The sequence below is a fragment of the Homo sapiens genome, chromosome 11, assembly GCF_000001405.40.
Source record: "Homo sapiens chromosome 11, GRCh38.p14 Primary Assembly".
In the NCBI taxonomy this organism is placed as follows: Eukaryota; Metazoa; Chordata; class Mammalia; order Primates; family Hominidae; genus Homo; species Homo sapiens.
Window position 1 is genome coordinate 71,136,782 of NC_000011.10, and position 24,521 is coordinate 71,161,302.

The 24,521-nt window shown below is 51.3% G+C and overlaps 1 protein-coding gene across 19 annotated transcripts in view, besides 2 other annotated features; it reads right to left on the reverse strand.

Annotated features, from left to right (window-relative positions):
* SHANK2 (SH3 and multiple ankyrin repeat domains 2) overlaps positions 1–24,521 on the reverse strand; it is a 785,381-nt gene that overhangs the window by 668,928 nt on the left and 91,932 nt on the right. For all 19 annotated transcript variants that reach the window (NM_001441030.1, NM_001441032.1, NM_001441037.1 and 16 more), the window contains one exon: positions 10,339–10,557. In NM_001441030.1, coding sequence (NP_001427959.1) covers positions 10,339–10,545 — 207 coding nt within the window. In that variant the 5' untranslated portion in view covers positions 10,546–10,557. The remainder of the gene's footprint in view (positions 1–10,338; positions 10,558–24,521) is intronic.
* Positions 2,603–3,482: an enhancer, noted in NCBI's record as "H3K4me1 hESC enhancer chr11:70850430-70851309 (GRCh37/hg19 assembly coordinates)". NCBI's record gives its function as "activates a minimal SCP1, AML or CMV promoter by ChIP-STARR-seq in primed H9 embryonic stem cells {active_cell/tissue: H9 hESC(primed)}" and the evidence as "EXISTENCE:reporter gene assay evidence [ECO:0000049][PMID:30033119]".
* Positions 3,483–4,361: an enhancer, noted in NCBI's record as "H3K4me1 hESC enhancer chr11:70851310-70852188 (GRCh37/hg19 assembly coordinates)". NCBI's record gives its function as "activates a minimal SCP1, AML or CMV promoter by ChIP-STARR-seq in primed H9 embryonic stem cells {active_cell/tissue: H9 hESC(primed)}" and the evidence as "EXISTENCE:reporter gene assay evidence [ECO:0000049][PMID:30033119]".

Sequence of the window (24,521 nt, forward strand, 5' to 3'; positions counted from 1 at the left end):
ATAAGGGATGGAAACCTCCCACACCAGGATGGTGGTGACAGGTGCACAACTCAGCAAATCCACTAGGAATCATCAAATGGTATTCTTTTTTATTTTTTGAGATGGAGTTTTGCTCTTGTTGCCCAGGCTACAGTGCAGTGGCGCGATCTCCACTCACTGCAACCTCCACCTCGCAGGTTCAAGGGATTCTCCTGCCTCAGCCTCCTGAGTAGCTGGGATTACAGGCATGCGCCACCATGCCCAGCTAATTTTTGTATTTTTAGTAGAGACTGGATTTCACAATGTTGGCCAGGCTGGTCTCAAACTCCTGACCTCAGGTGATCCACCCACCTCAGCCTCCCACAGTGCTGGGATTACAGGTGTGAGCCACTGTGCATAGCCCTGAATTGTATTCTTAAAGTAAGTAAATCCTATAATTTATAAATTATAACTCAAGAAAACTTTTTGAAAAAAAGAAAGTTTTAGTCTTTTCTTTTTTTTTAAATCCTTTTTTAAAATAAGTATTAAAATCCTTACTTAAAAAAAAAAAAAAAAAAAAGGTAACTGCTATCTAAGAGAGCAAATAACAGTGGGGCCAGACCTGGAGGTTCCTAGAGAAAGTTACGGTCATAGCATTGGTTTTGCACAACTTGAGTTGAGGGGCATCTGGGCTTTCAACAGAGAAGGTATGGAGGGGGAAATAAGGCCCAGCCCCCCCAAAGGAGGCTGCAGCAGGAGATGTGACCGTGGATGCTGTGTGAATGGAAATTCTATCGCCGCCAGGGTGCTGGGTGCAGGGAGCCGCTAACAGAAGTTCTATCGGTGCCAGGGTGCTGGCTGCAGGGAGCTGGGCCTGGCCGAGAAGCCCTCCCGCCACCCACTCCCTGGAAGGCCCAGGTGTTGAACAGAATGCAGCAGAAGGCAAATCTGACCAGAACTGGCTTTCTACCTGGAAAAATCCACCCGAGGGAAACAAGGACAAACCTTCTTGAAGTGGAATTAAGAGGCTGCCATTCAGGATCACGACCACCCAAGCTGCCAATCTCTCAGGCACATGGACTCCATCAACTCCTAGAAGACACCCAGCTCTCACCTTGCAGGGTCCAGGAGCAAGGAATCAGACACACACACAGCAAAGCATCGAAACGCAGCTTCTAACGGTAACGAACCACCCCTGCACCAGCCGCCCAGAGCCCTCTCTCACAATGGGCGGGCGCACACACACAGCAAAGCACCCGAATGCAGCTTCTAATGGTAACGAACCACACTCCTGCACCAGCCGCCCAGAGCCCTCTCTCACAATGGGTGGGCGCACACATACAGCAAAGCACCCGAACACAGCTTCTAACAGTAACGAACCACACCCCTGCACCAGCCGCCCAGAGCCCTCTCTCACAATGGGCGGGCGCACTCACACAGCAAAGCACCTGAACACAGCTTCTAACGGTAACTAACCACCCCTGCACCGGCCGTCCAGAGCCCCCTCTCACAATGGCCGGGCGCCTCATGGTCTCTGAGGATGAGGAGCCAGCCCCAGGTACAGGAGGGGAAGATAGGCTCAGACGTTGCCAGCACAGGTAGAGTCCTCCCAATATTCAAAAGTAGAGGAATCCTCAAATACAAAATGCAAATGCGGTAATTATGTGCCTGTGACCAAAAAGAGGGGATTAAATCCTGAAGGTGGAGGAGGTGAAACCTCCTTACTTTTGGGGTTCTATTTTAATCCACAATAATAAGCAGACGGGCCAAGGCCACTTTGGAATCAAGCATATCCGGCCGGGCGCGGTGGTTCACGCCTGTAATCCCAGCACTTTGGGAGGCTGAGGTGGGAGGATCACTTGAGCCCAGGAGTTCGAAACCTCTCTGGACAATATAGTGAGACTCTGTCTCTACTAAAAAGAAAAAAAAATCCCAGTGTGGTGGCGTGCACTTGGGAAGCTGAAGCAGGAAGATCCCTTGAGCCAAGGGTGCAGTGAGTTGTGATTGCACCACTGAACTCCAGCCTGAGTGACAGAGCAAGACCCTATCTCAAAAAAAAAAAAAAAAAGAAAAGAAAAAGAAAAAGAAAAAGAAAAATCTGAGAGTCCATTTGGAAGCAGCAGACAGACGAGAGGACATCCCCGTCAGCAGATGCATGCCACAGGGTGAGGCAGCACAGCGGGAATGAGAGGGCAGGGCCCTCCCAGCATGGCAAAGGTAGTGGGGATTTTGAGTGACTGTACAGGCGGGGAGAGAGGGAGGACAGCTGAGTGACAATGCATGGTCTTTGAGGGGGTCAGGTTGGCAGTGCAAATGCTTTTTCCTAAATGAAGTACCCCACTGGAAGATGCACGTGCTTTATAAATGGAAGCACTGACTCAAGCACAGAATGGGACACTCATTTTCCCTGAGCGTCTGCTGGGAGGTGGGCCAGGTCGCAAGGATCAGCCCTCAGAGTGACAGCTTCAGCTGAGCTACTCGGTGCCAGGCCTCAGGGAGAGGCGGATGCGGGGCCGACGTAGACACCCCAGCAGAGCCCGACAAAGGCCGCCACAGCCCCGTTCTATTTTCTTCTCTGCTCTCCTTGCAACATGGCATTCACTGTGGATTAAAGGGGTAGGGGGAGGGGGGAGGGATAGCATTAGAAGATATACCTTATGTTAAATGATGAGTTAATGGGTGCAGCACAGCAACATGGCACATGTATACATATGTAACTAACCTGCACATTGTGCACATGGACCCTAAAACTTAAAGTATAATAATAATAAAATAAAATAAATAAATAAATAAAAGAAAAACCACTTTGGGCCACGGGGCCAGTTTTCTTCCCTCTTCCTCATTCACACTCCCCCAGAAATAACAGAGCTCACCAGTTTGTATTGATTTTGGCACATGCCACTTGTTTTAAAGGCCATGCTGAATGTCCAGAGCCAGCACTCCACCACTGTGCATTTGAGAGGATGCAGAGAGGCTGCCCTCCCTGTGCCCAGAGCCCACCCCACCACTCCCTGCGTGGCCCGGGAAGCCCACCCACACACGACTATTCAAGTGAGGGCTCCGGTTGTGCCTGAAGGGTTGTGAGCACTGCTAGAGGCTCTCACTCAATGACTTAAAGCTTCAGTTCCACTGGAGGGTGAGGCTCAGAAACAGCACTCACTCGGCCAGCAGCAGTGGGCCCGGACAGCAGCGGAGGAGGGGTGGCATTGGGGGAGAAAAGGGGCCGCCCAGGTGCTTCTCCAGCACCAACTCCCAGTGGACGGGCACTGGGGCCTCGGTGCAGACTCACTCGGCAGCTCCTGGCTGGCTCCTCCGGGCAGGGTTCCAGGAACTGTCTCGTGTCCCTGGCTCCACAGAGGACTCAGCCCCACAAGGGATTTCTCACACGGGAACAATGTCTGCTTTGTTGCTGAGAGCTCACACCCGGGGGATTTCTGGTTTCAGCCTCCAGGGGCTTTGTTTGTCTTGAACAGAGTGAAGCAAAGTGGTCTTCAGAAGGTTCCAGAAACAACCAGGCTCCCACGAGTAGAGACTAAACCCTGAAGAGGCCCTGGCTTTCACGAGGAGGTGCTGTAGGTTAAATCTGGGCTGGAGCAGACCTGTGGCTCCATCCATCACTCCAACAGGTCTCCAGTGACTCTAGCAAAGTGGGCAGAACACCTGCTGGGGAAACAGCCCCTGCCCTGCAAGGGGAAGATTACCCTGCCAAGGAAAGCGTCAAACAGGCAGGGAGGCAGGGTCCGGCCGGGTGTAGAAGGCCCCTGATCTCCCAACACCCTTGCCCCAGTGCCGATGGAGGACCTCAGTGGCTGAGATGACCGGGGCCTCCCTTCTACGTGGCTGATGAGAGCCTCCGAGTGTGGGTAGCACCAGCAGGAGGGTGGACCCAGGAGAACAGAAACAGTAATGGGCCCCTTGTGGCTGCTCCCCGGGCTGAACGCCAACCCGCAATGGCTCACTTCACAAGTGGTGTTTGTTCCCGACAGGTGGAACCCCGAGGCTCAGATCTTCAGACCCTCGCCCAAAAGTGTAGAGTGAATGGCGAGGGAGACGTGCTTCTGACTCATGCCAGGACGACTGGGGCCGGGGCTGCTTCCCACGCAGCGCTGCCTGCTGGCTGCCTTCCTGCCGGGAATTCAACTTGCAGGTGCAAATCAGCCCAGTACCAAGCAGTTGGTGGCACACCCAACGCCAGCCTCCCAGGGCTTCCATCCAGCAGGTTTCAAGGCCCAAGGCTGGGTGTCCCCAGGACAGTGGCTCTGCCCCTCACTGGCTCTGAAGTCTGACCCTCCTGTTCCCATCTGTAAAGTGGGATTAAGCATAAACCCTCCCCATGAGTAGGAGGGAGCAGTGGGGCTCCCGGGGCTGGCTGGCGTCCTACGCCTTCCTCCACCTGCAGGTTACATGCTGCGTTCCGTTTGAGTGTACGGGACACATGCCCTGTGGACGGGTGTGTTATCCTTCAACAAAGATGCTCACAGTGCTGTCTACCTCAAGGCTGACAGCAGTTTGGGAGATCGAGGTGGGCAGATCACCTGAGGTCAGGCGTTCGAGACCAGCCTGGCCAACATGGTGAAACCCCCTCTCTACTAAAAATACAAAAAAAAAAAAATTATCTGGGTGTCATGGTGGGTAACTGTAATCCCAGCTACTCAGGAGGCTGAGGCAGGAGAATTTCTTGAATCTGGGAGGCAAGAGACAGAGGTTGCTGTGAGGTGAGATGGCGCCATTGCACTCCAGCCTGGGCAAGAGAGCGAGACTCTTTCTCAAACAAACAAACAACAACAAGAAGATGTGACTTTGCTCCTCCTCCAACTTCCACCATAATTGTGAGGCCTCCCCAGCCATGTGGAACTGTGAGTCTATTAAACCTGTTTTTTATTACAAATTACTCAGTCTCCGGTAGTTAGCAGCGTCGTTATTACCAGCATGAGAATGGGCTAATACAATGTCTCAGGAAAGACAGGGATTCCAGGCCCTGCACGTAGACTCCACTCTCCCAGCCCTGGGCCTGCTCCTCTCCAAAGGCAAACAGATGGCCAAATCTAACTTCATGATGGAGCCAAACGGAATTCACCCATGCACTATGCGAACCAACAGAAAGCCCAAACTACTGACAGCCAACCTAGACGAGACAGGCAGAAATGTCAGGGAAGCCACAGGGACCCCGCACAGACACAAAATGAACCACAGCAAGAAAGACGGCATGCAAACCTCCAACGGTCTCTGAGCTGCATGAAAACTCACCACAATTAAAAGAAGAAAAGCCCCCGAGAATGCTTGATGCCAGGGAGGACAAAAATAAGACAGAAAACCTACCAAACAAACAACTCAAGAGAGTATTTTCAAAAAGAAAGAGTGCAGGGCTATGGAAACAAAAACTCAAAGGAGCATGACTACAGTAAATTAGAAATCACAAAAATTAGAACGGGTCTAACTGAGAACACAACAATTAAAAGCTCAAGAAAATCATGGCAGGCCGGGCGCGGTGGCTCACGCCTATGTAATCCCAGCACTTTGGGAGGCCGAGACGGGCAGATCACCTGAGGTCAGGAGTTGGACACCAGCCTGGCCAACATGGCAAAACACTGTCTCTACTAAAAATACAAAAATTAGCCAGGCGTGGTGGCGCATGCCTATAATCCCAGCTACTCAGGAGGCTGAGGGAGAAGAATCACTTGAACCCAGGAGGCAGAGGTTGCAGTGAGCTGAGATTGCACCACTGCACTCCAGCCTGGGCAACAGAGCGAGACTCTCTTTCAATAAAAACAAACAAACAAACAAAAAAAAATGGCAAACAAGCAGAAAAATGCCAAGCAATTAAAGCAATTAGAGAAAAAGATAACAGATATGAACAAGGAAAATCCAGTATAGGAATTATTACTATCCCTGAAATAAAGGATCCAACCGATAACACAGAAAAAGTAACAAAATACAGGAAAACATTCTTAAAATGAAAATGTCCTTAAACAGAATCTGCAGAGAGAAAGTTTTTCTAGGAAAAACCAAGAATGCCCAACACCAAACACTTCCTGGTGTAGCAACGGAAGCCACTTCTTTAGGAATCTAGTCCAAAAAAAAAAAAAAGTCACCTATGAGATGGAAAAAATAAATCTGTTGGCCTCAAATGTATTCAAAGCAATGTTCAGGGCAGGAAGACAATCAAACAACATCCCCACAGACGGGAAATTGTGACTCAAAAATACAGAGCAGGTCAGGCACAGTGGCTCAGGCCTGTAATCCCAGCACTTTGGGAGGCCGAGGCAGGTGGTTCACCTGAGGTCAGGAGTTCAAGACCAGGCTGGGCAACATGGTAAAACCCCGTCTCTACTAAAAATACAAAAAATTAGCCGGGCATGGCGGCAGGCGCCTGAAATCCCAGCAACTTGGGAGGTTGTGGTAGAAGAATCACTTGAACCTGGGAGGTGGAGGTTGCAGTAAGAAGAAATCACGCCACTGCACACCAGCCTGGGTGACAGGGTGAGACTCCATCTCAAAAAACAAACAAACAAACAAACAAAAAACCCACAGAGGAAAAGAGTTTTCAAGCTGGAGGGAACAAGCTGACATTTTCAAAACACAGCCAATCCTCACTATTCATGAATTTTGTATTGGGGTATGCCTACTTGCTAAAATTTATTTGTAACCCCAAAATCCATGCTTTTCGCACAAAACAGCCAAAGGTTTCAGCCTGCCCGATGCGCGGGTTCCCACGGGAGGTTGATCAAGGTGGTGGTCCGACTTCTTGTCTCAGCTCTCATCTTGTAAACAAGCGTCTGACTGCAGCCCATGGAATGTCATTCTCACATTGCTTGTGCTTTTTGTTGGTGATTTTGCCATTTAAGAGGGGTCCCAGCAAAGGGCTGAAGTGCTGCCTACTTGTTCCTAAGGCAAGAAGGTTGTGATGAGCTTCACAGAGAAAACATGCCACAGAAGCTCCACTGAGGCCTGCCTGAGAGCACTGTTGGCTGTGAGTTCCATGTTAACGAATCAACATTACATAGTAAATATGGCATCTTTAAACAGCAACATACATAAAGTAAGATTCCGTATTGACCTATGGTCAAACATGTGACCAGGGGCTTGTAGGAATCGAACACTGCACTTCCTCTGGGAGCAATGGCCAAGGCGTCACTCATTCAGCATCTGTGGCAACTTTTTAGAACACAAGTACCACCGATAACGAGCATCGACCATCCATTCACCGAGAAAGCACTGCTCTTAGGAACTCTTGCTAAAAAAAACCCACTGAACAGTGAATTCCCTCCAATTAAAAGCAAAATAACAACCAGAAAAGGATCTGGCAAATGAAAAGGGCATTGCAAAGGCAAATGATGGCAGTGACCCCGGCAAGAGAGACAGAGTGGCTCCGGGCCCTGGAGGCACAGTGGATAGTAAGTGGGAGGGACAGTGACAGTGTGAAACAAGTCACTGTCCACACCCAACAAGGCTCAGGAGGTGGGGGAGGGAAAGTGTGCGCATGCGTGCACCCATGCACACATAACTAGCTACTCATTCACCAAACTGATGCCCTTTTCTTCCTGGGCTCAGACCTCCACTGCGTTTCCCAGCCTACTCTGCAGTCAGGTGCAACCTCCTCATGAAACCAGGGAAGGTGATGGATGCACTTTACAAGTTCTGTCTCTTCCTCCCTCATCTTCTGGGCAGATACAGAGGACCCCGTGGAGGATTCCAGAGCTCCAGGGAATGGTCCAGCTATCTAATGGAAAGAGCCTGGGTACCTGAATGTCTGTATGGATCAGAACTTCCCTCCTGTCCATCCTGCCAACCCAGGTGGACTGAGAAGAGAGAAAAAAAATAAAGCATCTATGTGTTAAGTGCCTGACATTTGGAGGCCTTTTATTATAGCAATGAGCTTAGTTTACCCCTAAATGATATAGGAAGAGGGGACAGTGAAAAGGGAAAAAAAACTGTAACAAGAAAGAAAAAAAATTCCAGCCTTCCAGTGTTTCATAATCACTTCTTTTACCTTCACAGATTTAGCTGGAAAAAGTCTCTTGTGACAAAAATAAATAAATAAAAGAAGCATTTCCTTCACCATCTTTTTCTCCTCTTATATTCAAATAAAATAACATTGATGATGCTCATTTCTTAAGAGCGTGTGTGGTTTGAGCCCACGCTTACCAAGGTATTTCTATCCATATGCACTTCCACCCACTGCCTGTAATCCTGCAGAGGGACGTGTCGGAACAGGGCTCTGCCAAGTATTGATGTGATCACCATTGCTAAGTCTGGCATTTGTGCTTTCCTGCATTACTTGAACTTTTCATAACAATCATTTATAGCTTTTATAAGAGGCATTAAATAATATAGGAGAAGGAACTCCAAAAGACCACGCCTATCCTCCTGAACAGCCTTTGTACTACCAGGGAAGCCCCTGGGGCCAGTGGCATGGCCAGATTAGCTCTAGGGCATCAGGCCACCCTGAGCCTCCCCCACAACGGGTGTCTAATCTTTTGGCTTCTCTGGGCCACACTGGAAGAAGAACCGTCTTGCGCTACACATAAAATACACTAACACTAAAGAGAGATAATGAGCTAAAAAGAAAAAAAAAGTTGCATAAAAACCCCTCAGAATGTTTTAAGAGAGTTTATGCATTTGTGTTGAGCCGCATTCAAAGCTGTCCTGGGCTGCATGTGGCCCACGGGCCTTGGGTTGGACAAGTTTGTCCTAGACGGTGAAGCCACTTGGCTGAGTTCATCCCTAGAGGGCACGTGTCAGCACGTTAGTCCCCTCAGCCCAGTTAGCGTCTCTCTCAGAGGGAGCAGGGCTGGGGGTGGGCTGAGCAGAGGGTGCCTGCTGGACCGCAAGCTGCTGGCACTGGGGGAAGAGGAGACACACATTTAGCCCTCGCTGGGGACCAAGCCCTGAGAGGTGCTAACCCCAGGGCATCTCTTAGCTCCTCCACAGCACCAGGAGCTGGGACCCTGGATGGGCACCAAGTGAGGCACCAGCAACACTCAGCCAGTAGGCAGCATGATGCTTCCCCGATCTCCAGCACTTGGGCCCCCCTTCCCCATCGTGGCTGGGGCCGGGAGACTGTACTCATAGAGGTCGGGGTGGATGCAGAGCACTGGGCTTACCCCCTCAAGCACCTGCAGCAGCCTACACCACCAGCCCACCTCTCCCCATTCCTTTAACCCAAAGCTAAAATGAGAAGGGTCCTCCCAGCCCACTGAGGGAGACCCTTCTAGAAAGCACAGATGGAGACTGTGACGAGCCTCACCCAGATGCCCCTCTGAGTCCTAACTCTTGGATGTCTACCATGTCTACTCCACAGCAAATGGGCTTCGTACCAACTGCCCCTACTACTGCCACCCCCACCCACATTCCCCAGGTGGACAGACGGCGTGTGAAATGTTCGCAGGCCAACCCTACTAGGCGCCTGTTTGCAACCATTATGTCTGCTCCACGCTTCCAGCTCTGTCCCACATCTCCGATTTGAGGCCACATGTGGCACAGTCCCCGCCGTGAGCAAGAGGGAACGTGGCTGGGCGACTGGCCCCCAGCTTGCTCTGGTGGATTCAGGCAAAAGATGAAGCCACACCCCTTCCTCTGCACACGAAGCTCCCCTTTACAGACAAGATGAAGCCACACCCCTTCCTCTGCACACGAAGCTCCCCTTTACAGACAAGATGAAGCCACACCCCTTCCTCTGCACACGAAGCTCCCCTTTACAGACAGCCCCAGTTCCCAGGGGCCAACCTCCTCGGGGAAGGCAAATCCAACAAAAGGGACCCCCAGGCATAAGGACAGACATCCAGGACACAGCCAGCGTGGGCCAGGGCAGCCTGAGGGCTCTGGGCGGCACAGGAATGACATTAGGCCCAGGGCTGGAGGGACAGGAGGAGGCGGACAGCAGCCACGCGGGAAGGAGTGCTCAGGGCTGTACCCCCTGGAAGTGGGGGAGCATGGGATGCTGGGCCTCTGGCACAGCAGAGTCCGGCACCAGGAAGAGGCAGGGCCAGGCCTGAGAGCCTCCTGCACTTGGTGCTAGAAGCCAGTTGCGGGTGCACCTGCCGCCCGGGTTTTCTCTATGAGGCTGTGAAACACTCCTCTCCACCTCTGGGACTCTTGCTTCAGGTCTGGCACACAGTAGGTGCCCAGTCAATGTTTGTGGATGGAGTTGGGGACAATGACAGCAACAGCATGATGTGAGGCCAGCGGCAGCAGGGAGGGGAGGCGGGCACGGCAGGGAGCCTGGGGGGACGGGGGCAGAAGTATGGAGCGAGGAAGGAGCACGGTGTGCCCAGAGCAGTCAGGACCGTGGGTCCGGGGAGGACCAGAGCAGGCCTCTGGCGTTCAAGCCACAGGTGACATTGTCCAGATGTGAACCAAAGGGCAGACCACGGGGCTCACCGTCTGCTGCAGGTCATGGATGACCACGCGGATCACCAGCGTGTTGCCCTGGCTCTCCTCCGTCCTGGCACCGCCCGGCTTCTCCGCAGTGGCCCGGATCGTGTCATAGATGGTCTCTTCTTTGGAGCTGTCTGACTCCGACCCCACGGAGTAGTCGGAGAAGCTCTGGGCCATCTCGTCCTCGCTGGATGTTGGGCTGCGCGGCATGGCTGCCTGTGTCTTCGAGGTGGGGAGAAGGAAGACAAAGAACGGGAGATGTGAAAATGAAAGAAAACCCAGGGGCACGGTGGACACTGGCGCTGGAACACACGTGGGCTCGGTTTCACAGTCTGTGTTTGTTGGTGTGACCACCAGCCGAGGGCCCCAGGTATGCACAATGTACAGATCCCAGAGGGCGGACACAAGTCGGCACCGCCTGCTCCTCCCTGGAGCTTGAGCCAGAGGCGGCAGCCAGGACCCAGGAAAACCCTGCAAACTCTGGTACCAGCGCTGTGAAACCCCGGCACTCAAAAGGAGCCTGAGCTAGCCACGGGGATGACCACAGCTTACAAAGATGATGCAGAGGGCCACTGGGGCTGTCTGAGCTACCCAAGGTAAGAAAAAAGGCTGCCTTTTGTTTTCCTTGGAGGACAGAGCTTCAGGAGAGGAAGAAACATGGGCTTCAGGTCAGAATGGCAGCAAGTTCACGCTATAATAACCCTCTCTGCTTCAAACACAGAGCAATGATAGGTACCGTGTAAAAACAGAACAAAAGGCCAGGGCCAGGCCCACAGATGAGAGAATCTCCCAGACCAGGACTGGAGTGGAACCAAGAGTCATGAGCAGACTGCAGCCATCAGACTTGGGGGTCCCCAAGAGGCAGGGGCAGCTGAGAGTGCAGCTTCCTCAAGGTCAAGTGCAATAAAAATTACCCCACAAAGAGTCAGGCCAGGTTGCCAATGGCCACCTTAGACCAAGGCTTCTTGTTTTTTTTTTTTTTTTTGAGATGGAGTTTCACTCTTGTCGCCCAGGCTGGAGTGCAATGGCGTGATCTCGGCTCACCGCAACCTCCGCCTCCCGGGTTCAGACGATTCTCCTGCCTCAGCCTCCCAAGTAGCTGGGATTGCAGGCATGCGCCACTACACCCAGCTAATTTTGTATCTTTAGTAGAGACAGGGTTTCTCCATGTTGGTCAGGCTGGTCTCAAACTCCCAACCTCAGGTGATCCACCCGCCTTGGCCTCCCAAAGTACTGGGATTACAGGTGTGAGCCACCGTGCCTGGCCAGACCAAGGCTCTTAAGAAGGACACAGAACTCTGGGAACAGCCATCCACTATTTGGTGGCTGCATCTATGACATCCCCCACCTCTGCAGGGCAGGAGTACAGAAAGGGTTGGATAAAAGTTGGCTTGACCCAGGGATGGCAGGGACTGGGGGAGGAGGGGCCATGCTGAACCAGCAATTCCACTTCTGGGTGCGTTCTGTGGGGAAGGACGAGGCCACGTGCATATGGAAAGGCATAGAAGATTGTTCCCTGCCAAAGCAGCATGTGGAAATGCATGGTCACCCTGATTGTTTAGGGACCCCTTGATCAAGCTGTGGTCTCTTCATTCCCATGAACTCCACAGCTGTGACAATGAATGAACCCAAGCTACATGTGGATGATCCCTGAAACATAACACTGTGCAAAAGGAAGGCAATTCACGGAAGGATTCAAACCACATACTATCATTTCCAGATAAAGGCTGGAAAGATGCCACACAGTCCTACAGATGGTACATGGGCATTTTCACCGTGCGTAACGGCACAGAAGCAGTCAACTGGAAAGGCACATGCCCAATGCAGGAGAGCAGTTCCCTCTCGGAGGAAGACAGGGTGGGCCGCGCTGCTTGGAGCCATGAACTTCCTGAAAGCAATTCCAGCAACTACAGGACAAGGTCAAACTTGGTACAGTTGGGGACACAGATGTTTGCCGTATTATTCTCTTTGTTAGAAATCATTCACAAGGAGCAAGGAAGGAGGGCAGGAGTGCAGGGGGCAGAAGAGGCCACCCCAAAATATGCTGCCTGGGCATAAGGACAGTCCTGAGCTGAAGACGATGGAGGAAAAGCAGGTGCGAGAACAGCTCGCTGCCTTCCCCCGCCACTGGTGTGCCTCAAAGCAAGACGTAAATTTCAGAAGTTCATCACTAGAGACAGCTTTAGACCCTTGTCAGCCCCGCCCTGGAGGAACCTACAGAGCTGACTTCACCAACAGACTAGCCTTCAGCTGCTGTTTCTTTCCTAAAGATTGGCCGCCCCATAATTTGCCCTCTAGAAACTCACAGTCCTTTCCCTTTGTCTTGTCGCTTCTCTACAAATGTACTGTTCCTGCTCTGAGGCACCAACCCAGCCCAAGCTGTAGGCACTTTTTCAGACACTCTTCACTGACGGGTGCTCTATGTGTTCACAAACCATTTTTCTCTTGCGACTGTCTTATGTCAGCTCAATTTCAGGGCCCCAGGTAGAGAGGAGGGTAGTAGGAAAAGAAATTTCTCCTCTGCAGGGGGAGGGATTAGAGGAAAGGAAGGAGGGGAGGGAGGTGGATAAATGAATGGATGGATGGATAGATGGCTCACTGTGTGGATACGCAAGAGGGAGGAAGGAAGGGAGGAGGGGAGGGAAGGAGGTAGATGGATGGATGGATGAATGGATGGATGGCTAACTGTGCATAGGTGAGAGGGAGGAAAGAAGGGAGGGAAGGAGAAAGGAGGGAGGGAGGGAAGGAAAGAAGGAAGGTGAGAAGGAAAGAAGGAAGGAAAAAAGGGAGGAAGGTAAGAAGGGAGGGAGGGAGAGGAGGGGAGGGGAAGGAGGGAGAGGAGGGGAGGGGAGAGACAGAGAGGGAGAGGGAGAGGAATGGAGAGGAAGGGAGAGGAAGGGAGGGAGGGAGAGGAAAGGAGGGAGGGAGAGGAAAGGAGGGAGGGAGAGGAAAGGAGGGAGGGAGAGGAAGGAAGGGAGGGAGAGGAAGGAAGGGAGGGAGGGAGAAGGGAGGGAAGGGGAAGGAGGGAGAGGGAGGGAGGGAAGGAGAGGGAGGGAGGGAGAGGGAGGGAGGGAAGGAGAGGGAGGGAAGGAGAGGGAGGGAGGGAGAGGGAGGGAGGGAAGGAAGGAGGGAGGGAAGGAGGGAGGGAGAGGGAGGGAGAGGAAGGGAGGGAGGGAGGGAGAAGGAAGAGGGAGGGACAGGGAGGGACAGGGAGGGAGAGGGAGGGACAGGGAGGGAGGGAGGGAGAGGGAGGGACAAGGAGGGAGGGAGAGGGAGGGACAGGGAGGGACAGGGAGGGAGGAAGGGAGGGAAAGGAAGGAAATGATAAGAAGGAAAGCTGAGAAGACTTCCTAATGCAGGACCTAAGTCTGCTGCCAATTATTCACATTAGTGGAATGTCAGGGTAACAATGACATTGATAATCCCAAATCAATAGTTTAATCTTCTATTTAGTCTCTAGCTATAAACCAAAATATATTTACTGTGCACCAATTATACATGAGGGATCCCCCTAGGGTGTGTGTGGCTTCATGTCCAGCGCATGTTCTTTCTTTGTAAGAAAGGCGCCATGCCATGGTCCACAGTTTTCGGAGCACCCTGTGTCCAACCACCTAACACAATCCCTGCATGGATATCCTGGGGACTCTCGGCTGCGTGGAGTGGGTGGGGGCAGGAACTTCTCACCCTGTGTTTAGACACTTCACAAGGCACAGATGACAGCACGAGCCAAGAAAAGGGGGCACCTGTTTCTTACCCTCGAGTTCCTAAAATGAGAATGGGCTTTATAAGAATCCTGAACTTAGGAGTTTTCACACAACATCTGGATTTCAGTCATCTCTAGAAAAATCACAGGCTCCCGCCTCCTGAGCCCACTCCACCCACCTGGCAGCCATGTGGGCACCGAGCCGTGTGGCCCTCTCAACAGGGAAAGGGCGACATGATTCACCCAGCCCCACCTCACTATGTCCTCTGCACCCTGGAAGCCACTGCCCCTCACCATCCAGGTACACTGAGGCTCACCCTGCACTCAGCTCACCCGCCCCATCAGCCCTGGGCCCTGGCAGCAGAATTGTGGACCCTGTGCTAGTGTTTTATAACTGGGGGGCCCTGTGAGTGTTCAGGAACCTCCCGGGGAGGCCACGGGCAGTTCACCAGGAACCAACACTATGTCCAATTAGGAGAAAGCTGATACCCACTGTTGACTCCCAGCGCTCTTCCGGTGTGGGAAGAGCCTGCCGGGTAGCGGGGTGCACTGGAACCATGTCCTCAGCAGGCACTCCGGCCTCACCCCTCAGCTTTGCTGCCCAGAAACCTGACAGCAGCCACTCCTCATCAGATATCAACCTCCACCTGTAGCTGCGATGCCACCCCCATTTCACCCGTTTTTATTCTTCGTCCTCATTCTCCTGGGCCCTGCTGGGTTGGAAAGCAGTGCAGGCATGAGGGTGAAGGGAAAGAGCCCTTCTTAAGTGGAGCCAAAGCTACTCAGAGCTCATGTCACTCATTAATGCAGAAAGAAGCCTAGTGTGGTAGCGAGGCCAGCCTCAGCGTCAACATCTGAAAAACGGAGGGCGGGGGGAGCCCGCAGCTCAGAGCCCTGGCACAGAGCAGACACGGCCCACACTGGTTCTGCCCCAGCTCAGGTCAGATAACGTCTGACTGGCAAGAGCAGGCAGAGACCGTCCAGGCTCCAAGCTGCTTCCAGGGGTGCATGTGTAGGAAGCCCCCCCTCAGTGGACAGTGGGCACCCAGTGAACACACGCTGGGTGGGAGGCCAGGGCTCCCGATCGCAGACGCCCACAAGAGCAGTCAGGGGGGCACGAAGGGGGCGATGCTGGCAGAATGTGGTCCCCAAATCAGCCAGGCAGCAGCATTCCCACTCTGGCCACAGCTGGTAGGTAGGAACGCAGGTCTGGTGTTGCCAGGCCTGCAGATATCTTTTAGATATGTCAGATTTGACAAAAAAAACGTGAAATTTATAAACATTGGAAATTCACTTTGTTTGTTTTTTATTGAGACGGAGTCTCACTCTGTCGCCCAGGCCAGAGTGCAGGGGTGCAATCTCGGCTCACTGCAACCTCCGCCTCCCAGGTTCAAGTCATTCTCCTGCCTCAGCCTCCCAATTAGCTGGGATTACAGATACCTGCCACCATGCCTTGCGAATTTTTTGTATTTTTAGTAGAGACGGGTTTTCACCATGTTGGCCAGGCTGGTCTCAAACTCCTGACCTCAAGTGATCCACCTGCCTCCACCTCCCAAAGTGTTGGGATTACAGGCGTGAGCCACCGCGCCTGGCCAGAAATTCACTGTTTTTAACGGATTACTTTGCAGGCCACATAGTACACATCTACAGCTGGACCTGAGTCCAGGAACAAAACCAACAGCCCACAGCAGGAAGGGCGGCAAGGAGGGGCTCCTGAGGCCACAGCCCCCGCTGCTGCCGGCGGACATCTTCACCCCCTAGGACTCCTGTGTCCCCTTGGTACCGGCTCTGGGGGTGATGGTCACAAACAGGCACATCTGCTCCCAAACCATGGTGCAGAAGGGCTCCAGTGCTGGGTCTGAAGAGGAACCGGGATTTCGTGCAGAAGCAGGTGAGCAGAGAGGAGGAGAAGGCTGGGTCACACCTCCCGGGCTCTTTCCAGAACTATCCTGGGAGCTCATGGCCAGAGATCTGACTGGGAGGGTCTTGACCTTGGTAAGGGTCTTGAGTAACCTGATTAGCAGCTTCCTGGGAACAGCAGACACCTGATCACTGCCTGGGAAAACATTTAATTATTAACTCCCGGGGAGAGCCACCAGGCAAGGCAGAAGGCGCAAGTCCCATCTGCATTTCAGACAAACAACAAAGACACTTTACTGCATGTCCCAAATAATTGCGTGGGACATTCTTATACTAAAAAACTCTCTGCTGTTCATCTGAAATTCAGGCAGAACTGGATGCGCTGCGTTTTATCTGGCAACACCATGGGAGAGCCAGGGGGGCTGGGCTGAGTTCTCTAACCCCGTGAGGACCAGCACGCCGGGAGGCTCCGCAGAGAGAATGAAAGCAAAGCCGAAGACGCAATCTGAAATCCTGGCTTCCCCAGGAAAAGCCAGTGCCAGATCAGAGGAGGGGAAGGTTACTCACCACCCCGGGGCAACCGTTTTCTGTGTAACTAATCTCTCGGGCGGGTCGGGGGCGGGGGAGAGGCCATAAAACCCCAGGTCCATGAACTTCAATGACTCTTAGTGTGTGTTTCTCTCCTTGGCCCTCCTAGAGTAGCTACTAACGAGGAGAAAAGAAAATCATCACAGTCAAAGCAAGTTCAACAAAAACAGCATTTTGCTGCTAACTTGCTCCAAGAAAACCTAAAATCTTCAACTGGCTCATTCGTCCTCCAGTACCTCTGATGAAAAGGTAGACAGACTTTTCCACTAATTATTTCAGCCACTGTGAAAATATGAAAGCTGACCTGGGAGAGAAGATACATAATAAAAACAAACAAAAAACCTCACGGCCAGCGCTGACTTTGTCAAGGTTAGAGTTGCAAAACCTTTGTAAACACCTTTAAAACTGCAAGAGTTCAGCCGGGTGCAGTGGCTCACGCCTGTAATCCCCGCACTTTCAGAGGCCAAGGTGGGTGGATCACCTGAGGTCACTCAGGAGTTTGAGACCAGCCGGTCAACATGGTAAAACCCCATCTCTACTAAAAATACAAAAATTAGCCAGGTGTGGTGGTGGGCGCCTGTAATCCCAGCTACTTGGGAGGCTAAGGCAGGAGAATCGCTTGAACTTGGGAGGCGGAGTTTGTAGTGAGCCGAGATCGTACCACTGCACTCCAGCCTGGGCAACAGAATGAGACTCTGTCTCAAAAAATAAACAACAACAACAAAAAAAGTGCAAGAGTTTCCTCATCTGAACTCTGATTTACTTTTTCACCAAAAGAAAAGAAGGTTTTTATTGATATGGAATCTCTGAGAGACACCCTGTATGTGAATCACATGGAAACCGAGATTTTGTGACTACACATTTCATTTATTTTGTGCATTCCTGTGTGTAAAATGTGCTCGGCCTCAAGGCAGTGAGGACCCCGAGGCTCCCCTGGTGCCGTTTACAGACATTTAAACTCGGGGTCAAACGGCTGCAGGACTGACAGCACTCCATTGGAACCTGTGGAACTAGAACAGAATATTCAAGGAATCCAGGTTCCATCGGATGTTAGAAAATTGCCGTTCTAAGAGCTGACATAGACATAGGGCTGAGAGCAAGTGCGAGGGTGTGGGCTTTGGGGAAGGGTGGGCTGCCAGCCAGTCCAGAGTTGGCCAGATGTGAGGGAAGGGGAGGCCAGCCGGGCAGAAGAGAGAAAGGCACGCTGGCTTCCTTCTGTTCATTTAACCCACTGTTCTCCTCCCTGCACCTGCAAAACACATCAGCTGAGAAGGAGCTAGAACACAACACATGGGGGCCCTGGCCAAGGGGGTGGACTGCTCTGGAAGTTTCTGCAAAAGCAGACCTTCTGACACACTGCCCCAAATACTGGAGGGGTGAACTTACCCCACCCACGCTCCCAGAGGGATGGACCTACCCCAGCCCACGCTCCCAGAGGAGGGATGGACCTACCCCCACCCACGCTCCCAGAGGAGGGATGGACCTACCCCCGCCCACGCTCCCAGAGGGATGGACCTACCCCCGCCCATGCTCCCAGAAGAGGGATGGACCTACCCCAGCCCACGCTCCCAGAGGAGGGATGGACCTACCCCCGCCCACGCTCCCAGAGGAGGGATGGACCTACCCCCGCCCACACTCCCAGAGGGATGGACCTACCCCCGCCCACGCTCCCAGAGGAGGGATGGACCTACCCCCGCCCACGCTCCCAGAAGAGGGATGGACCTACCCCAGCCCACGCTCCCAGAGGAGGGATGGACCTACCCCAGCCCACGCTCCCAGAGAGGTGGACCTACCCCAGCCCACGCTCCCGGAGGAGGGGTGGACCTACCCCAGCCCACGCTCCCGGAGGAGGGGTGGACCTACCCCAGCCCACGCTCCCGGAGGAGGAGTGGACCTACCCCAGCCCAAGCTCCCAGAGGGGTGGACCTACCCCAGCCCAAGCTCCCAGAGGGGTGGACCTACCCCAGCCCACGCTCCCGGAGGAGGAGTGGACCTACCCCAGCCCACGCTCCCAGAGGGGTGGACCTACCCCAGCCCAAGCTCCCAGAGGGGTGGACCTACCCCAGCCCACGCTCCCAGAGAGGTGGACCTACCCCAGCCCACGCTCCCAGAGGGGTGGACCTACCCCCGCCCACGCTCCCAGAAGAGGGATGGACCTACCCCCGCCCACGCTCCCAGAGGAGGGGTGGACCTACCCCTGCCCACGCTCCCAGAGGAGGGATGGACCTGCCCCTCCCATGCCCCCAGCCACACCCTCAACATGGAGACACCACCAGCCCCCAGTAACTGAAGCAGAACCTGGCAGGGAGGTCTGAGGATCCCACCACACCAATGCCGGGATTCAGTCTAGCACCACCTCTTCCAGCAGTCTTGCCTAGAAGCTGTCCCCCAAACCCGCCCTGCCCCATACCCCTCAAAGCTCCCCAGAGAGGTGGCCCGTCCCACCCACCCCAAGTAGAGTGACTATGGCCGTGGCCACACAAAACCACGTGGCAACCCCATGTCAGGGCTGTGCCATCTGCCACGTAGCCCCCAGGCACCAGCATGGCATTAGACACACTGTGAGCTGAACTGTGTCCCCTGCTCAAATCCGTATGTGGAAGTCCGAATCCCCGGGGCCTGGAAAAGTGACAGTATTGGAGACAGGGCCTTTAAAAAGGTACTTAAGGTTCCACAAGGTCTTACAGGTGGGCCCTAATGCAAGGCTGGTGTCTTTTTATCAGAAGAGGGACTCTGGACACACAAGGGGCACCTGGGGGTGCATGCGCACAGAGGGATGATCACAGGAAGACACAGCAAGAAGGCAGCCACGTGCACGCCAGGGAGCGAGACCTCAGGAGGACCCAGCCCTGCCACACCTTGATCTTGGACAAACAGCCTCCAGGACTGTGAGACCATCAATGTCTGTCGTCTAGACTGCCAGTTCTGTGGTGCTCTGTGATGGCAGCCTGAGCTGACTCCTCCAGTCCCCAGGACCCTCCTGATAGGTTTGTGAAACAGATGCATGGAACAAACAGATTTCTGAAAAGAACCTCCATCTATCCAGGTTTCCTGGGATTTCCCTAATCACCATCAAACAAACACTCTGTTACCAGCCCTGCTGGCATCTCTGGATGAACTCAAGAAACGGGATCCTGCCTCTGAGTTTCCGCCCTCCACTGGTGTCACCGTCTCCTGTCCTGAGTTTCTCTCCCCGTTCAGCCAAATCCTTCCCTTTCAGACTCGCTCTACCCCAGGTCAGAACCAACTGCCTATGGTACACAAGCTCCCCTTCCTCTCACCTCAGAGGGCCTGGAGTCCACGCCTAATTCCACATCTAATTCCTTCCTAAGCTGTGCCTCCTGACTCCAGCTCTGAGAACTAATTCCATTACACATACACCCTCCAACCCTCCTCTGGACACATACATTTGTGAAATGTAACTGGATAGAACAAAAACACACAGGTCATTTTGCTGCTGAATTTTTAAGAGGGCTTTATATGGCAGTGTCTCAGAGAAAGGGGTAAACGCAGCATTTCCCAAGTGCACTTGCCCCAGACATTCTTTTCCCCTGGGGCTCATAAACAATCTCCCACAACAGGAAGAGAAGCTATGGTCTGAGTTGCCCATAGTCCCTTCCTTGCTACACTCAAGATCTTAGAAGCAAAAGCCAATCACATACCTACAATGCATGGCCCACTGAGGCCAGCACCCTGCCAAGTATTATCGCCTGAAAGAGGGATAGCATTAGGAGATATACCTAATGTAAATGACGAGTTAATGGGTGCAGCACACCAACATGACACATGTATACATATGTAACAAACCTGCACGTTGTGCACATGTACCCTAGAACTTAAAGTATAATAAATATATATATATATACACACACATATATATAAAGACACTGACAGCAGGAACTCTGCAATGGTTCTCTATCTAAAAGAAATGGGCTCTAGGGAAATAACGGCTACTTCACACCTTCCTCTTAATGCCAAAACCAATATCCCCAAATCAGAAAACAAGCTACTAATAAATCAGATGCCTGAATTAAAATGATACGTCACTTAAGAGCACTCCCTTAGATGAATTGCAATGCCTCACTGGTGTGTTCTATTAAGACATTGGGGTGTCCAGGTCTTGAGAAGGACTGGTGAGATGGTACATTCATTAGGTAAGTCTATTTCTCTTCCATGCCTCAGCATTCATGTGGAAGTGTGCCGTTTTCTTGGTGGCACCAGTAACCACACCACTAATGTGGTCTGCACCGTCTTTCTTTGGCCAGACTCAACACAGCCTCCAACAGTCTCTCAGCTTCTGCTAGAAAAGCCAGAGAGAAGAGTCTGTCTGGCTTTCTAATTGGGCCTCAGTGGGTTTCTGTCCAGGCTGCTGTAAAGAGCACATGATTTATAAAGAAGTCTTCATTTTATGACAGGTTTCCATTTCAGTTTTCTTAGAGCAGAATTCAAGGGGTTCTGGCCAGCTAGCATGAACCCACTCTTAGCCTGTTTGTGATATGCTGGCCTACCCATCTCACAGTTCTGCCGAAACCATTCACCGTGACCAGGAAGGGAGCGACTTGCCCAAGGTAAAAGGCTTCCTGGGAGACAACCTACAGAGAAGGAAACCAATCAAGACAACAGGTCAACAAGCCCCTCCTGGGACACTGCCCCTGTGTGCAGCTCTTAAGTGTGGGTCCAACAAGGCCCTGTGTCCAGCAGGAACAAGAGGCCCAGCCACGGACAGCCTGGGGGGACACAAACCACCCCTAGTCATGACCAAAGTCTTGGAAAACTGGGAATAGAAGAGAATTTCCCAAACTCGAACAGAGCACCTACTCAAATCCTGTAGCAAACATCAAAAATAAGTAAGCGAACAGATAACCGAATGCATTGTTTATGGACTAAAAGCAGGGAAATCATTATTTTCAGATAATATGCTTCTGTGAATAGAAAATCCAAGAAAATCTAGGGACAAATTAAATAATGTGTAACCATAAAACTAGTTAAAAAAAAGTCCAGCAAAATGCCAGATAAGAATATACAAAAGTTAAGTGAATTGTTACATTAGCAATAAACAATTGAAAAACATTCAAAAAACACTATAATACCACCAACAATAACCAAAGTCAACTAAAAAAAAATCTAACACAATATGTATGAGACCTTTGTGGAGAAAAGTAATACTACATAGCATTATCTTTTTGAAATAAAGAAAGAATTGAAGGTAGACCCAAATAAATGAAGAGCTATACAATGATCATGGACATTAGGCTTTAATATCTTCAAGATGAAAATTCTCCACAAAATATAAACTTGATGTAACTTCTAATAAAACCCTGATAGGACTGTTGGTAGAACTTAACACTCTGATCTTAAAGCTCAAAGAAGATGGAGAGCCACATAAAACCAAGATAACTCTGGAGACTAAGAGGAGACTCATTCTACCAGATGCCAAGGCTTACCAGAAAAAGTTATAATATGAAAACAGTATGGTATTAGACAAAGACAAATAGATGGATTTAAAAAGCACAGAACCTTAGGCTGGGCTTGTAAATATCAGACTCCCATATGTGTTGGGGGAAAGAGAAGAATTAATAAACCTATGAGGCTGACACTAGCAGGTATTCACATGGAGAAGATGAGAAATAGAGCCCCATGCCACTCCAGACACACAAACGCATTCCAGATGCACTGACTACTGTCACGTGAAAAGCAACACAACAAATCTCTAGAAGAAAAAGTAAGAGGCAATGCCTTCATGTAAGGTCCCTAAGACGGGATTCTGGCTTCTCAATAAATGCTGCTTTATTGCTGTGTAAGAAGATAGCACAGACTTAGTGGGTTAGAGCAACAGAAATGTGCAGCAATGTACTCTCATCACGCTGAGGTCAGAAGTCCTAAATGAGTTTATGGGGCTAAAGCCAAGGTGTTGTCAGAGCTGGCTCCTTCTCAAGATTCTGGGGAACAATCCACTTCCTTGCCTTTCTCGCATGTTGGTGGTGACCTGTACTCTGACACTCATGGCCCCTTCCTCCAATTTCAAAGTGGGTCACTCCTATCTCAGCTTCCACCTTCACATCACCATCTCCTCTTCTGCAGCCAAATCTCCCTCTTAAAAATAATGACCCTTGTGATGACATTCAGGGCCCACCTGGATAACCCAAGATAATTCCTCCCATCTCAAGATCCTTAACTTCATCACATCTGCAAAGCTCCTTTTGCCATATGAGGTCACACATTCAGAGGTACCAGAGACTAGAACCTGAATATCTTTGGGGGCCATTAATTAGCCAGCCACAAATATGTTCAATTGTTATTTGCTCAATAAAACAAGGCGAGAAAAAAAGTGTTTCTTTCTACAAGGCATCGGGTACAAGGCATGAAGGGACAGACAAATTAGACAATGTAAAAGTTAAGACTTCCATCAGACACAACAGCAAGAAGACACCTCAGGCCGGGCATGGTGGCTCATGCCCGTAATCCCAACACTTTGGGAGGCTGAGGTGGGTGGATCACTTGAAGTCAGGAGTTCGAGACCAGCCTGGCCAACATGGCAAAACCCTGTCTCTACTGAAAATACAAAAAAATTAGCTGGGCATGGTGGTGGCACACCTGTAGTCCTGGCTACTTGGGAGGCTGAGGCAGGAGAATCACATGAACCCAGGAGATGAAAGTTGCAGTGAGCCTAGATCGTGCCACTGCACTCCAGCCTGGGTGGCAGGAAAAAAAAAAAAAAAAAAAGACACCTGAAAGGGACCTTTACAACATAGGACAGAGCGCTGTGGAAAATCTGGGAAGAATTCCTACAGGGCAAAAAAGAAACAATTCCAGATGCAAATGGGTACAGTCCATCGCAGGGGACACCTGAAGGGCTAGTTGGCATGGGAGAACACATCCCAAAGGTACCAGGAAAACAAGCAATGCCAAGGCCCACAGTGAAAATGCAGTCCCAGGATGGGGAAGGGAATGCAAAGTGGGACTGCTCCGGAGGCTCCTGGGGACTCTGTCATCCCCCCTTAAAGCAGCCCTCAAATTCTCACTGCTACGAACTGAACTGTCTCCCTCTAAAATTCATATGCTAAGGCCCTAACCCCCAATGTGATGGTATTTGGAGGTAGGACCTTTAAGAGGTAATTCAGGTTATGAGAATACAAGGGTGGGGTCCTGATCCCATAGGACTAGCATCCCTATAAAGAAAGGAAGAAACATCAGAGAGCCAGCATGCGTGTTCACGTGTGGTCATGCATTCCCATCTCCCTGCAACCAACCATGTGTGGACACAGTCAGAAGGTAACCCTCTGCAAGCCAGGAAGCAGTCCCTCAATGGGAGCTGAATCAGCCAGCTTCTTGATCTCAGATGTCCAGCCTCCAGAAAGGTGAGAAAATAAATTTCTGCTAAGTCATCCTATCTATTCTGTTATAGCCTGAGCTGCCCAAGACACCCACCTTCTACAACATCATGTGTAAAACATAACAGAGTTGATGGGGAAAAAGTTGAGGAGGCCACTCCAACGTATGCCATTTTGTCCCCAGAGCCCTGCAGAAACCAGGAAAATCCCTGCTGGGTTATTTCAGCTCCAGCAATGACACCTTAAATGACAGTCCACGTTGGCAGCCTTCATCCCTGGGCTGCTGAGCCTCCTGAGACATGTCTGTCTCCAAAGAAGATGGCTTCCAATAGAAACCAGTTGCCTCAAAACTGAAAACTAAGTTTGCAGACAGCCTTCTTTAAGAAGTTTACTTTTGTTAACCAGAAATAAAATTCTAAGTCCACCACCAACTGAATGGATCCCCCAGCTGCTCTTTGCCAAAGGCATTCCAAAGTAAAACTGAAAAACTAGTTCAAGGTATGATGGGAAGTGGGGATTGAACATGCCTCATTATATCTGCCTCCCTTTGGAATTCAGGCACAACTGACCAGCATTAACATTAAAACAAGAGATCTCAAGATGGACAAAATGGACTCTTTGTAGCAATAAGATACCAAATTCCAACCTGACTCTAGTATAGCATCACATGATAGACAGCAGGTCCTGAAAGAAAACAACGTATT